Genomic DNA, 14,810 nt, shown 5'->3' with positions numbered 1-14,810 from the left:
TAAAAAATAAATAAATAAATAAATAAATAAATAAAAAAGAAAGGGGAAAAAAAAAAAAAAAGAAAGGAGGATTCTGTTTGGATAGGGGATGTTCTTTCAATTACCCACATTGAAGTTTCTTCCAATATTTTAAAGAGCTCTGGGACTTGAGTTCTTGTTTTAATAGTTCTTTGGAGATAGACTTTGGCAAACAGTAATCTAATTTGCTTGAAGGACTGAGTTCTACATGGCGTTCTTAAAGTTTGGCTTACTAACTTTATATTGCAAAGTTACTGGAAACTGGAAGATTCAAAGCAATGGCATCTTTGCCATTAAAAACAATTGCAGTTGGTGCCCTTTTTCTCCATGGATATTCCTGTCAGGTGTGACCAGATGTTGCACCTGATATTGCAGGAATGTCAAGGTGTAATTGTATCTGAAAAAAAAATGTGAACAAATAGTGTTTGTCAATTCAGTTAATCTGAGATTTCTTGAACTCTCATAGGTAGTTCACAGAGCAAAAAAGTTATGGTGTAGACCTTTGAAATACTTATTGATGGGAGACATAGAGGACTAATGTTTAGCTGTGCTTTTTGTGGGGAAAGAGGAGTGTTTTGTTTTTGTCATTTTAGGGATGGGGTTAGAGACAGCTGAGTTATATAGATCTCTGTAATGTGGGGAATGTTTTGTTTATCTGGAATTTAAGTCAGGTTGAAAGGGCTAAAAAGAATGGATATTGAGAATGAGGTATCAAGAGAGATTGTTCTGAGCAAAAACATGACCCAGGAGAAGGTTGAGAGAGCAACCTATTAGCAAAGGGGCCAGAGAAATGGATGAAGGAGTCACAGGCAGTAACATAAGACAGATGAGTGCAAGGTTGCCCGCTATGGTTGAATATTTGTCCCCTCTGAAAATCATGTTGAAACTTAATCCTCAATGTGACAGTATTGAGAGGTGGGGCCTTTGAAAGGTGACTGGGTCATGAGGGCTCTGCCCTCAGGAATGGATTAATTTATTCATTCATGGATTACTGGATTATCATGGAGTGGGCCTGGTTGCTTTATAAGAAGAGGAATTGAGACCTGAGCTAGCACATTAGCACACTCAGCTTTGTCGCCATGTGATACCGTAAGTACCCTGGCACTCTGCAGTCACCACTAGCCAGAAGGCCCTCACCAGATGTGACCTCTCAACTTTGGACTTCTCAGCCTCCATAATTGTAAGAAGTAAATTCCTTTTCTTTGTGAATTACCCAATTTCAAGTATTTTGTTGTAAACAACAGAAGACAAATTAAGACACTGCCCAATGGAGGCCTCCATCTGGGTGGAGACTGAGACATGTTGACTTGGTTCAAAGGTTGATAGTCATTGATGGAGGTGGTTGGATTTCACAGAGAAAATGAGAGGTAAAAGCAGGACTTTATTGTAGCTTTTTGACTTCTGGAGACAAGGTTTAGAAGAGGGGTGGTCTACAGCCCATCCAAGAGAGTTCAGACTGAGTCTGAGATATCACTGTGAAGATGAAGAGAATAGAGACATATATGGAAATTGGTTAATGCTGAACCATATATGGAAATTAGAAATGCTGACGTTTTGCTGAAGAGTATCAGGAAGGATATAGTATTAGGGATGTGATAGCACTCAGCATTTGTCTTTGAATTTTTGGCAGGATCTGTAGGATTTAGTGCAGTAAAATAAATGAGGGACAGTCCCCCATGTGACAGTGTCCTACAGGCAGTGGGAGATGAAGAACTACACTAAGGAATGGAGGTTAGTGTTCACAGCAAACACTGGAGGCCAGACCCAATGATCCTAGAGCTCTAGAGGACATGTGGTCCTGAGGAAGATGACAAAGAGAACTTTGTGACCCCTATAAGAGTCACCCTAATTCTTCATTTCCATTTTCATTTTCATTTTGATAAGCCTCTATAGGCAAGCCCCTTGAAGAAAAGGATGTCACTATTCTGATTTTTGTCCAGATAGCTGCAGTTAATTAAATGAATTGAAAAAATTAGAAACTCTTAGAGGGGTGTATGTTGCATGCATCAGCCTGGCTCTGATGAGTGTCACTTCAACATTGATTGGGATGTCCTGTACCTGGGAGGGAGAGTCAGGCTCTGGTTTCTGCAGAGGGCTCTGGCTTTTCTCTCTTTCTGATAACAGGGCCTGCAGCCACTCACCCTGATCCTCTCTGTGCTGCTCCTCTCCCTGTGGAGGCCCCTCTCTCCTCTCTGGGATCCTGGGGGAGCTGGGAACCAGTGACTCGTTTGTCAGGTTTGGCAGCCCATCTGAGGGCTTCTCTTTGGAGACAGAGCCTGTGCGGCTCTTGCAAAAGCTTGTATCTAGGAATGTGAGGACCTTTCCTGTTTGGAAGCCAGTCAAGGAGTTTTTTGAGAGGGGGAGCCCTTCAAGACTTCATGAAGTGGGCTCTTTAGCAATTAGATGTAGAATTTTGTAGAACTGACCAAGAACTTTACAAGTGATCATTTAGTGTGTGGGTGGCTTTTAAACAGCCAAACTCTTTTGGCGTGTACTTTGGGATCATAAATTCTACTTAAAAGGAAGTTGTTTCCTTCCTCTGATATTTGCCTATTTTGGTGGAGACAAAGAAATTAAATACTTGCCACCCATAATGAGTGCTCATCTCAAGAACAGTATATAGAAGATGTTGAATAAATTTTAATTGAAATGAATTTGTTGGCTGGTTGAATGAATGAATGAATAAAATAAAGTGCTAAATGCCCAGAGTTCACAGCAAAAAGTCAGACTCTCCTCTTCACAGCTCTGTTTACTACTCTCTTCCCCCCTTCCCCATCCCCTTCAATTCTTCACAGTCTCTACAACCTCCTTATCTTATGGAATTTCTCTAAATTTAGAACCAGGATTCTCTCCTATCTCACATTTATTATGGCAGATCAATGCCAGGAGCTTTGAAAGCTTAGCTTTTTGAAATGGGGTTTTTTCTCCTTCCTCTAGTACTTTTCTTTCCCTAGTTGATTTTTCTTTATTCTGACTAATGTATAACTCTGAAGTTATTGAGTCCACATTAGTTGATGATGTCGACTATCTTATGGATAGACATGAGGCAGAACAGCCTTTGTTTATATTTGGCAGTAGTTGTGGCTTCCTAGTATTGAGAAGCTCTAAAAACATTTCTTGCTTTTTGTTTTTGGAAAAGTCAAGCTTTGCTGATGAACAATCAACAACTGGAACAATAACAAATAAACTAGGCACCTGTTACTTTGTGAATTGAATGAATGAAAAAAGCAAAGCAAGATGTTGTTTTTTCTGGGTTAGAGAACTAAAAGAACTGCTGATTGTATTTTATTTTCTCTTGAAAAGTGTGTTACATCTATATTTCTTTATCCTATTAGCAAAACCTCAAAACCTTACTTTGAAATTAAACATTGAAAGGAAAAATTAACATTAGAAAAGAGCTAGAACAACTGTGGGAGTAGACTTAGAACAAAGGGAAGAGCCCATTCCTTCCTTGCTGTTTCCTTCAGTGAAATGTGATGTTCTTCTCTGTGCCCGAGTTTGTCTGTCTAGCAGAATGGAAAGGTAATGATACTTACCAGTAAATAATATTTCTAAGAGTCACATTATTTGTGAAGTAAGTTGTGTTTTAAAAATACCTTCCCAGTTCCTTACTAAATTGTAAAAGTAGTGTGATTTAGTGAGAGAGAGACAGTTTCAGAAGCCTAAACATAACAGCTTTTTGAGAATCAAGCACTGTTCACAGATCTTTAGGAGGAGCGGTCGCTGAATGAAGGTAAAGGCAAAAATCTCATCTTGTTGAAAATATGAGGGTAAACAGAATGTTAAGGAGTGATCCTATAAGGACCTGGGTGTTGAATTGGCAGCTGATTCAGGCTCCTGGTCCCTCTCTGGTCTGTGTTGGCTCCTGCAGTGTTTATAACATTCACCAGCTGCCTCTGTGACACCTCCCAACCTCCACCCTGAGATCCTGGACACACACCCCGGCTCTTGGCCTCTACCACCTTCTCCAGTGACTCTCCTACCATTTCAACCATGGCTGTTTCCCAGTCCTACACCGTGAGACTCTCCTGGGCAAAGCCTGTCTTTTGCTCCTTCACATCCTCAGCATCAAGCATAACGTCTGGTGCTTAAGTAGACACTTGGCTGTTTGAATTAGTGTATGAATGAATAAATGAATGGTGTTTACAAACATATAAACAACTAACCAAGCATAATGAGGTGAATGCTCACTAGAGATGCCCATAAAGGTGTTACAGAGGTTCAGAGAACAGAAATTATTCTATAGGGAATCACAAACACCTCTGAGTGGCAGCATTTGAAGGTTAGGAGGCTTTCTAGGCACAGGGAACCACGAACAAAGTGTAGAAGCATCCAAGGACATGGTACAAATGGGGACTATTAAATAGTCTGACAAAGATGCAGTGGAACTGAGCCTGGGAGGGACGTATGCAGCCAGGTTACAACTCACCTTGAATGCCATGTTGAGGAGGGGTTAGGGTGTCCTAGGGTGTGGGCTCTAGAGCTGGCTGGCCCACCACCACATACTTGCCACCTGACCTGAGGAAGACCTGTTAGCCCCTGTGTCTTTTTCTCATCTGTGAAATGAGGATAACCCTGATGCTCGTATGAAAGGGTAGATGGAAGAGGAAAGAGAGTGATGCTGTGAGACAGTAAGGAGGCCTTTTGACCAACTAGTGCCTAACACAGTGCCTGCCCATAGTGGTCATTTAATAAATGGATGAATGAATGAATGAATGAATGATGCAAATGAGAGATGCTGAGTGCCTAGGGTTATAAACTAGGGCAGTGACTGCAGGATGGACAAGTTAATTTTGCTGATTGCTCTTAGCTCTGAAAGAGTTTACATGAGAGAAGTTTGAAACCTTACAAAGTATATATTTTTTAACCTATGTTTTACCAATGCGTATTTCAACTATTAATCTAAATTGACAAATGGTATTTGCAATAATAAATAATATTGCTTATGAAATTATATTGTTAACTTGAAGAGGAAATTTTAAAGAAGGTTATGTTTAAAAACAATTTGGAGGAATCCTGAAAAAGGGGAAGTTCTTTGCACGTTATGATGCTTTGCTTGCATTCTGTTTCTTTCTTCTTTTATTTGTTTTTTACAGGATGTTTCTCTCTCTCTCTCTCTCTTTTTTTTTTTTTTTCCTCACAGCTGAACACTTTCCAGGCAGTTTTGGCATCTGATGGGTCTGATAGCTACGCCCTCTTTCTTTATCCTGCCAACGGCCTGCAGTTCCTTGGAACCCGCCCCAAAGAGTCTTACAATGTCCAGCTTCAGCTTCCAGCTCGGGTGGGCTTCTGCCGAGGGGAGGCTGATGATCTGAAGTCAGAAGGACCATATTTCAGCTTGACTAGCACTGAACAGTCTGTGAAAAATCTCTATCAGTAAGTAACATTGAGCTGAAGCCCTTTCCTATTTGAATATAAGGACTTTTAGGAAGTACCTGAACACAAGTGACCATAAGACCATTACATAATATATTGGTGGCTTCTAAGTAAGGCATCAAGTCAAAACCAAGGAACTAGATTCAACCCTGGAAGGATCAAGTTCACCAAAACATAAAAGGTCCTTTATTTTTCCTGCTCTATTGGGTATAGATACTGGAAACAGAACAGTATGTGTGTGTATTTGTAGAGCCACTGAGGCTTGCTATGAAAAACATTGCTCTTGGAACCACATAAAAATATCCAGTCATAAACTGCCCAGTTTGAGGTTTTCCAGATTAATCATTTCACAGGAGGAAACATTGTGATTTAGTCTTTTGGACAGATACTGTTAAACATTAAATTGAGCAATGTAATTTGCAGGAAAAATAACTAAGATTTATAGGTTTCCAGAAGTCTGAGGATGTCTCTCTGGCTTCATTACCTAAAATGAATTGAACCCATTCCTTAGACTCATCAGTGTCTGCCCATAATGGGCATTTAATAAATAGATGGGTGAATGAATGAATGATCCAGAGGGCTTACTTAGCTAGTGCAATAATAAGCTCTTCTGCATTTTGCCAGTACAGATAGTGCCAGTAGGATATTTATTGACTTCAGGGTTTTTTGGGGGGTGTGTGAGGGGAGGTAGGGGTGCCCTCGCTTTTATTCGTTTCCTGAATATAGAAGCCAGATAGAATACATTGGTTACTTCCTGGCCTCCTTTAACTGCTTCTTGACTTCATTAAATCAATCCTGGGTAGGTATAGAAACACCTTACACTTTTAGCATGCCATCCACTCTGCTCGGCTACCAGAAAGAGACCACTATAGCCAGGTTTGCTTACTCAGAGCTGACATTTATTGAAAACTTACTACTTGCCAAGCATCATGCTAAACACTTTCCAGATGTTATCTTAATTAAAACTCACAAGAATTGTAGGTTAGTACTACTATTTTCCCAGTTTTACAGAGGAGCTTAGGGAAGTTAAGTAAATTGCCTATGATCTCAAAGTTAAGTGGCAAAGCCAAAATCCAAGCTCAAGTCTGGAGTGCTGAACTACTTATTTTATCTTATGCTGAGTCCTTGTTTCCTTTCCCATCCTTATGATCCACATTGGGCATCTTTAGGGCTCCATCTAGGCTGCCGCTTAGTCTGGACTCTGGAGCAAACTCAGTTCCTTACTCTCCCTCCTCTGGTTCCACCCTCTCTTCTACTTGGGAGCTCATAGATTTATTATTCCATAGATTTATTATTATAGAGAGGTCACAATGGCCAAGCACATGGAATACAAAGATTTCTAAGACACTGGTCCTGCACATCAGCAGCTTGTACCCTATTAGGGTTGATAGACAAATAGATCAACAATTACAGAGCCCTGGGTAAGTGCTGGCATCTACACAGGAGACAGGAGACAGTGGGGCCAAAAGACCTGTGGGAAAAAGCAGTTGTGTTCCCTGAGCAGAGCCATAAAGGTCTCTTGGAACTAACATCCACAATCACGTGTGACACACAAACACACAGACAGCATTTCCACTTACCCCCTTTCATGCCTTCCCTCATTTTTATCTTTGATACTTCCCAGAAATCTCTGAATTGCTTGGCGAAAGCAGAGTAAGATATGGGGCCAAATGACTCACGTATTTTTCTTTATTGTAATCCATGCTTAATACAAATAATAAAGTACAAGCAATGCAGAATAATGTGAAATAAAAGTAAAAGTTATCCATGATCACTACTTCAAGTGATAACAAGTGTTAATGGTCCTTCTAGAATTTAGGTATATACAAAACTTTTAAAACCAAAATGGTTCTTTTGCTATGTAAGTGGTGTTTTCACATTAATCACTTCTTATAGGGGTCTTTTAGTCAGATGTCTGTCTATACTACCATTTTAAGGCTACAAAACGTTATGTCATATATGTATAAAGACAGCTTATTAATGAACATTTCATGTATTTCTGATTTTTCTTGTTATAAATATCATTGCAGTAAACAGCATAATAAACATTGCTCACATTCTCGTTTCTCCCTAAAACAAATTCTTAAAAGTGGAATTGCTGAGAAAGGGTGTATGATTTAAAAGTTGTACATTTCAGATTGTCAAAGTTACTGGTCTTTTCCTTTCTGATTTTGGATCTTGTTGTTATTCTTAGGAAGAACTTCTGTACATCAAATTTATAGAAATGTCCTTCAATATAATCTTCTATTTCACTTTTCATTATTTAAAATTTCAAAAATATACAGAAAAGTGGAGAGAATAACTAGATGAACACCCAAATGCCCATCACCTAGATTTATACATTGTAAACATTTTGCCATATTCATTTTTTTGTTTGTTTACATTTTTTTCTTTTCTTTTTTTTTTTTTTTTTTTTTTTTGAGACGGAGGTTCGCTCTTGTCGCCCAGGCTGGAGTGTAGTGGTGTGATCTTGTGCTCATTGCAACCTCTGCCTCCTGGGTTCAAGCAATTCTCCTGCCTCAGCCTCCCAGTAGCTGGGATTACAGGCGCCCACCACCACACCCGGCTAATTTTTGTATTTTTCGTAGAGACTGGGTTTCATCATGTTGGCCAGGCTGGTCTAAAACTCCTGACCTCAGGTGATCCACCTGCCTCAGCCTCCCAAAGTGCAGGGATTATGGGTGTAAGCCACCATACCCGGCCTGTTTAAATGTTTTAAAGTAAGTCACAAACATCATGCCAGTTCATTGCTAAATGCCTTAGTATGCATCTCTTAAGGGTAAAGTTAGGCTGGGCAAGGTGGTTCTAATCCCAGCGCTTTGGGAGGCCAAGGTGGGAGGATTGCTTGAGCTCAGGCATTCAAGGCCAGCCTGGGCAACATAGCGAGACCTAATCTCTACTAAAAATTTAAAAAATTAGCTGGGTGTGGTGGTGTGCACCCGTAGACCCAGCTATTTGGGAGGCTGAAGTGGGAGGATCACTTGAGCCCAGGGGGTTGAGGCTACAGTGAGCCATGATCAATCACACCACTATGCTCCAGCCTGGGTGACAGAGGGAGACCCTACCTCTAAATAAATAAGTAATTAAGAGTAAAGTTATTTTCCTAGTCAATTGTTTTCTTCCTCAAATTTGTCTCACAACTGTGAGCTCAAAGGTCATAAATTATATAGTTCATAATGTTTGTCATACTCTTCCTCTGCAAATTTAAATACGAATTCACACGTGTATATTTTGAAATCATACTTTTCTATCTTCTGGAAGACAAGACAGTAGTTAATAAGTATTTATGATGTTTAGGGCCAGTGATAGGCATTTTATTTATTTATTTTTTTGAGATGGAGTCTCGTTCTGTCATCCAGGCTGGAGTGCAGTGGCATGACCTCGGTTCACTGCAACCTCTGCCTCCTGGGTTCAAGCTTTTCTTCTGCCTTAGCCTCCAGAGTAGCTGGGATTACAGGCACACACCATCACACCTGACTATTTTTTTTGTATTTATAGTGGGGTTTCACCATGTTGGCCAGGCTGGTCTTGAACTCCTAACCTCAGGTGATCCGCCCACCTTGATTTCCCAAAGTGCTGGGATTTCAGGCATGAACCACCGTACCTGGTCAGTGCTAGGCATTTTAATGTGGTTTTCTCACTTAATTCTCCTAACAACCCAGGGAGGAAGGCATTGTCATCCCATTTTGTAACCCAATTTTCCTTTGTAGAAATAAATTAAGTTCTTTCTATTACTAAGCTTTCCAAATGACCTTGGATTTTAAAATAAACTCAAATTGGTTACTTTTCCATTATGCATAATGACAAAACCCAGATAGTGATTTATATATAATTAGAAGGTTATTTTATTTAGCTTTTATTGGCCATAATCTGTATTTTTCCACTGTTTGAAGATTTTATAGTTTCTGTTTCTAACTTCAAGAAGAAATTTCATAGTTGCACCACCTCTAATGTGATAATAAACTCAATATCCTCAGAACTTCAGGATTTTCTCCTACTGTCTTTAGTTTTCCTTATTTGCTTGCCAATAAACACCAACATTAATTCTTATGAACTTAACAAATATGTATAGCATATTGCACACAAAATCAGTTTTTCTTTCTATGCTTTTTTCCCTAAATTTACCACAACAGTAACCACAGCATATACATATATGTACATGCATACACACACACACACACAAACACACACAAGAGAAAGACATTTTCAAATTGTACTGAAAAATATTGTTACTATAGAAATCCACATGAACATGATGAGTACCCACCCAAATGAAGGAAAATCTTTTGTTCTTATACAATTTAGTGAAGTTTTTATTATCTTATTAGGCATGGACTGTTATTCCTCATTGACTGACTTTTGAGGAAATTCCATTGCTTGGGAGAATGTGAGCATAGTGTTTTGTACAAATATCAGAGGAGTATACAAACTGGCATATTCAACCTAACCAGACTCTTGTTCACTCAAGTTTTCCCATATTTTTAGAAATCATATGTAGTTGTTCTCTTTAGGGTATACCATTGACTCTAAAATAATGGGTTATTGGGATATTTGGAAACTCAATGGAGTTCATGTTCTTTTCTCATGGAGAAAACGAGAGAGCTGTTTCCAGAAGTCTTTAAAAGACTTCTAAGCTACTTTCTTATTTGCTCCTTAACTTTTTCAGTGCAAAAACAAATTTTTTAGGTTTTGGCATTTGTATTTATTTGAATTTTTTTACATTGACTCACCATTCTTTGTGGATTAGGGAATTAATCAGTTCAAGTGAATAAACAATGAAATGTCTTTAATATTCTGTAGAGTAATGATAATTCAGATGCTTATTGACTGCAGTGTGTGGTATGGTTTTCTGTCATAATATAACATAGATGAGTAGAGCATGGGCTTTGGTGTTAACTGAATTCGGATCCAATTGTTTGTTATGTGACCTTCAGAAGATCAGTTAGCCTTTTAAAGCCTATTTTCCCCTCTATAAAATTGAATATGATCACCTCTATTTGCAGATTGTATTGAAGAATGTGAAACACTTGGCACAGGGAAGGGGCATCACCAATTCATGAAAGTATGTCGTAGTCATTTGGGTGTCAGTATTTGGTAGAGTTTTAAGCATACATTTTTAAAATGTGTTATGTTTCCAGACAAGTAGAGGAAGGATGAAACATTCCTACATTCCTTGTTTATTTTCAAATAGCCAGATTTTAGATAAACCATTTGGATTATGGGGCAGATTGATAATTTGATGATCTGGCATTCTGTGGCATACAGCTTTGAAACATAATGTTAAATAAAAGGTAGTTCACATCAAAAGTCCAGTATGATCCCTTTAGTTACCATGTAAGTCTGCTTTTATTTGGTTTTATATACCAGTGAAAACTGAACCTGATCTTAATAGCCTTTCAGGTTTTTTGTTTTTTTGAGACAGGGTCTCACTCTGCCACACAGGCTGGGGTGCAGTGGTTGCAACCAAAGCCCACTGTAACCTGGAACTGCTGGGCTCAAGTGACCCTCCTGCCTCAGCCTACTGAGTAGCTAGAAGCACAGGCATGTGGCACCATGCCTGGCTAAGTTTTTTAGAAAAGGGTTTTGTAGAGGCAGGGTCTCACTATGTTGCCTAGACTGGTCTCAAACTCCTGGGCTTAAGTCATCCTCCTACTTTGGCCTTGCAAAGTGCTGGGATTATAAGTGTGAGCCACCATGCCCAGCTGTCTTTCCGTTTTAAAATAAGTTGTTCACCTTCTAGGAAGGTGGGTGAATGGACACTTTTGTTACATTTGTTACAATGACTGTTTCCTTTTTATTTAGACTAAGCAACCTGGGGATCCCTGGAGTGTGGGCTTTCCATATCGGCAGCACTTCCCCGTTGGACAATGTCAGGCCAGCTGCAGTTGGAGACCTTTCCGCTGCCCACTCTTCTGTTCCCCTGGGACGTTCCTTCAGCCATGCTACAGCCCTGGAAAGTGACTATAATGAGGACAATTTGGATTACTATGATGTGAATGAGGAGGAAGCTGAATACCTTCCGGGTGAACCAGAGGAGGCATTGAATGGCCACAGCAGCATTGATGTTTCCTTCCAATCCAAAGTGGATACAAAGCCTTTAGAGGGTAGGATCTCCCCTCCAGATTCTGATCTGTCCTCCCCCTTGCATCCAACACCTACTTATTGGCCATTCTATCCTGAAACAGAATCTTCCACCTTGGATCCTCACACCAAAGAAGGAACATCTCTGGGAGAGGTAGGGGGCCCAGATTTAAAAGGCCAAGTTGAGCCCTGGGATGAGAGAGAGACCAGAAGCCCAGCTCCACCAGAGGTAGACAGAGATTCACTGGCTCCTTCCTGGGAAACCCCACCACCGTACCCCGAAAACGGAAGCATCCAGCCCTACCCAGATGGAGGGCCAGTGCCTTCGGAAATGGATGTTCCCCCAGCTCATCCTGAAGAAGAAATTGTTCTTCGAAGTTACCCTGCTTCAGGTCACACTACACCCTTAAGTCGAGGGACGTATGAGGTGGGACTGGAAGACAACATAGGTTCCAACACCGAGGGTGAGTGCATTAGAAAACTGGGTGCTAAGGTTTCATCTTAACCATGCTGGTTTTGCATAGCGTTGTGATTTTTCTCTTAAGTGGGTAGGTGAAAAGTTTAGCAAAAAGAAGATTGGATCTAATTTTTAATCCCTGTGTTTCAAGAGATAGAGTAAATTTCCTTTGCCAAATAAATCTTGGCAGGCAGATTCTGTTCGGAATCTCTTGATCATTAATAATGTTTTTTTAAAATATGGGCCTCATGAAGTGAGTGGGGGAAAACTGGGTTTGTTATGCCAGCTACGCTCTCAAGTGTAATGAACTATTTCAGTTTGAAAGTTCAGCAAAGGTAAAACATTTTGCGGCTTCATACACATTCCAGTGATGGACGGGTTTGTGCTTTTTAAAGTGGTGAGTTGTGCTGGCTCAGATGAACATGCCAGATTCATACTCTGTTGTGAGACAAGCCTAGCGCTTCCCTTGGTTGGGGAGATATGCTTGTGATGTGTGGGAGAGGAGAGCCCACAGGGAAAGAAAATGACTAAACACCTGTGTCTGTTGTCATTTCTGGTTCATGGCTATGCAGCTGTGGCATGAACCTCCCTGGAGCCTTGTCCTCATTTCATGACCCACTGATCGGACTGAGAGGCGAGGAGGGAGATGGCGAAAGCAGGCGGTGGTTAATTATCATGGACATGGGGTCTATGTCAGTCTTCTAGTCCTTGTTGAGACTTGTCATGCCAGCTGTTTCTTCCCCATCAGACATGGAAAGATGTGAATGGGAAACTGACTCCAGATTGTTTGTTCCAGGGACTGCTCATCTGACCTCTGATAGGAAGAAAGAGGTCAGAGGTGACTGCTTTGTTCTGAATCTCCATGTTTTTCCACCTTTTCTGTTTCCTGTCACTGTTGTGGCAAAAACATGGCTGACCTAGCAGAGAGGGCCTTCTGGGTTCTGCTCTGGTATTATCTGCAGGCTATTGCATGGAGAGGTACTAATTTCAGGAGGGAAGAAAATATTTTCTGACTAATGTGGCATTGTGTAAGGATTCGAGGGAGTACATTGGTGTCGGCTTCGAGTTTGAATCCTGGCTGCCAAGCTTGCTGGGTGACCTGAAGTAACTTATGTAACCCATAAGCCTCTGATTTCTCAGGAATTACTTGGGAGGATTCAATGAGACAGCGTATGTGAAGTTCTTGGCTTCGTGTCTGCACTCACTGGTTCTTAATAAATAGTGGCTGCTGTTACTAATTTTAGAAGATTTAAAACAGTGGGAATGGGGTGGAGGATGGGTAGAGAATGAAGAATGTGCTTATTAAAGAGTTTCACATTAATTTGTGCCTAAGGGACCACATTTCCATGAAGTTGAAGATGTAAATTTTATTGGAAGTCTTTAGAACCTTCAGATCCTTCTGAGAATCTCCAGAATTTACAGTATGAGTTTCCTCTAAATACATTTTAAGGCCAAGTATCAAAGATTTTCACAAAGGGATTTGAGGTAAAGACGCATTCCTGAATGGCCTTCTCATTTGTGGGTTGTGATTTCCTTCCCTGGGAAGAGCGTGGGAATATTAAAAAGCAGATCTATGGAGTCATGTATTAAAGGGTTAAGAAGGGACTGCACACCCTGCTTTGGGCTCTGAGAGCTTGAGATCACTGGAGTAAAGTGCAGGAGGCTTCAGGAACCAGCCATAGAGTAGAACAGAGGCACAGCTATAACCCTTGTGGGGCATGAACTATGATATTTATCAGCTGCCGGATGCAGTCTACTATAGACATCCTGGTAATGGCAAAAAACGCCTGTGAAAAAGCTGGTTAATACGCATTTTGGAGGAAGAAATCTAGAAGTGTTTGAAACTTAGACAAAAAAAATCCAGTTTTTGTTTTAAAAGAATTTACGGGGATGTATGAAGTATAGAAGCATGCAATTGTTAAATACTTTTGAGGGGATGCAGTGACTGTTTCTTTCACATAAAACATTGGAGGCTCAGAGGTCTGTCTGGTAAGTGTGGGCTTCCTCCGGGAAGCTGTGGGGTGGGAGTGGCAGAGACACAGAACATTGTCCGGTACTAAGTACCCAGCCATGTGGCATCTGCCTGGCTTTTTCTGCTGATGGAATAGAAAGCACATGGTTTTGGTGCTGGTTGGACTTGACCTTGACTCCCAGCTCTGCTATGTGGTTTGGGGCAAGACATGTAGTCTGTTTGACCCTTGGCTCTCCTCAGCTCTAAAACAGAGTTAATGAAGACCTCGTCATATACTTGCAAGAACTGAAATTGAGCTTGGGAAGCACCCTGCCCAATACATTTTAGTTTCCCTTTGAAGCTTTAGGGTAGTCATCTTGCTAAACCAAGAAATTAAGATTTAGTTAAAGGCCCAGAAAATATCACTCCTTTTTACATTTTTTTCCCCTTAGGGACTCATTTTACAGACCTTTCTTTTTGTTCAGAAATTTAGATTTTCAGATCATATCTACACCAGGCAGGAATGTCCTGGCCACACTCGAGCTCTGTCTTCCTAGGCCACAGAACAGCAGTAGATGGATGTGCAAGCATGCTTTCTCTGAGGAGTCTTGTTTCCAGGGAGCTCTGGTCGTTTTGTTGTCAAGTCAAAAAGTTACCCAAGCACCTGCCGTGTACCTGTCTCTGACTCGGTGCTAGTGGAAGTTTTGGCTGGCATTTGCTAAGTGCAGCCTGCTGCTCTAAAGTGAGAACTTGGCATTAGATTGCATTATCACAGTTAGTCCTCAGAATTGCCCTGTGGGGAGTTCGAGACCAGCCTGGGCAACATAGGGAGACCTTGCCTCTATAAACAATTTTAAAAATTAGCCGGGTGTGGTGGTGCTCACCTGTGGTCCTAGCTACTCGGGAGACTGAGGTGGGAGGATCACT

The 14,810-nt window shown here is 40.7% G+C and overlaps 1 protein-coding gene across 4 annotated transcripts in view; it reads left to right on the top strand.

Annotated features, from left to right (window-relative positions):
* Positions 1 to 14,810, top strand: part of NID2 (nidogen 2) — a 64,251-nt gene that overhangs the window by 3,542 nt on the left and 45,899 nt on the right. For 2 of the 4 annotated variants that reach the window (XM_005267407.5, NM_007361.4), the window contains exons 3-5: positions 5,162 to 5,394; positions 11,197 to 11,498; positions 11,580 to 11,939. In XM_005267407.5, the coding sequence (XP_005267464.1) occupies positions 5,162 to 5,394; positions 11,197 to 11,498; positions 11,580 to 11,939 (895 nt within the window). Of the gene's footprint in view, positions 1 to 5,161; positions 5,395 to 11,196; positions 11,940 to 14,810 lie in introns of all 4 variants that reach the window. The other 2 variants (XM_005267406.5, XM_005267405.5) reach the window with 1 other exon arrangement.

The sequence above is a fragment of the Homo sapiens genome, chromosome 14 (assembly GCF_000001405.40).
Source record: "Homo sapiens chromosome 14, GRCh38.p14 Primary Assembly".
Taxonomy (NCBI): Eukaryota; Metazoa; Chordata; class Mammalia; order Primates; family Hominidae; genus Homo; species Homo sapiens.
Note: the sequence above shows the minus strand (reverse complement) of the source record. Positions and strands in the feature narration are given on the sequence as shown.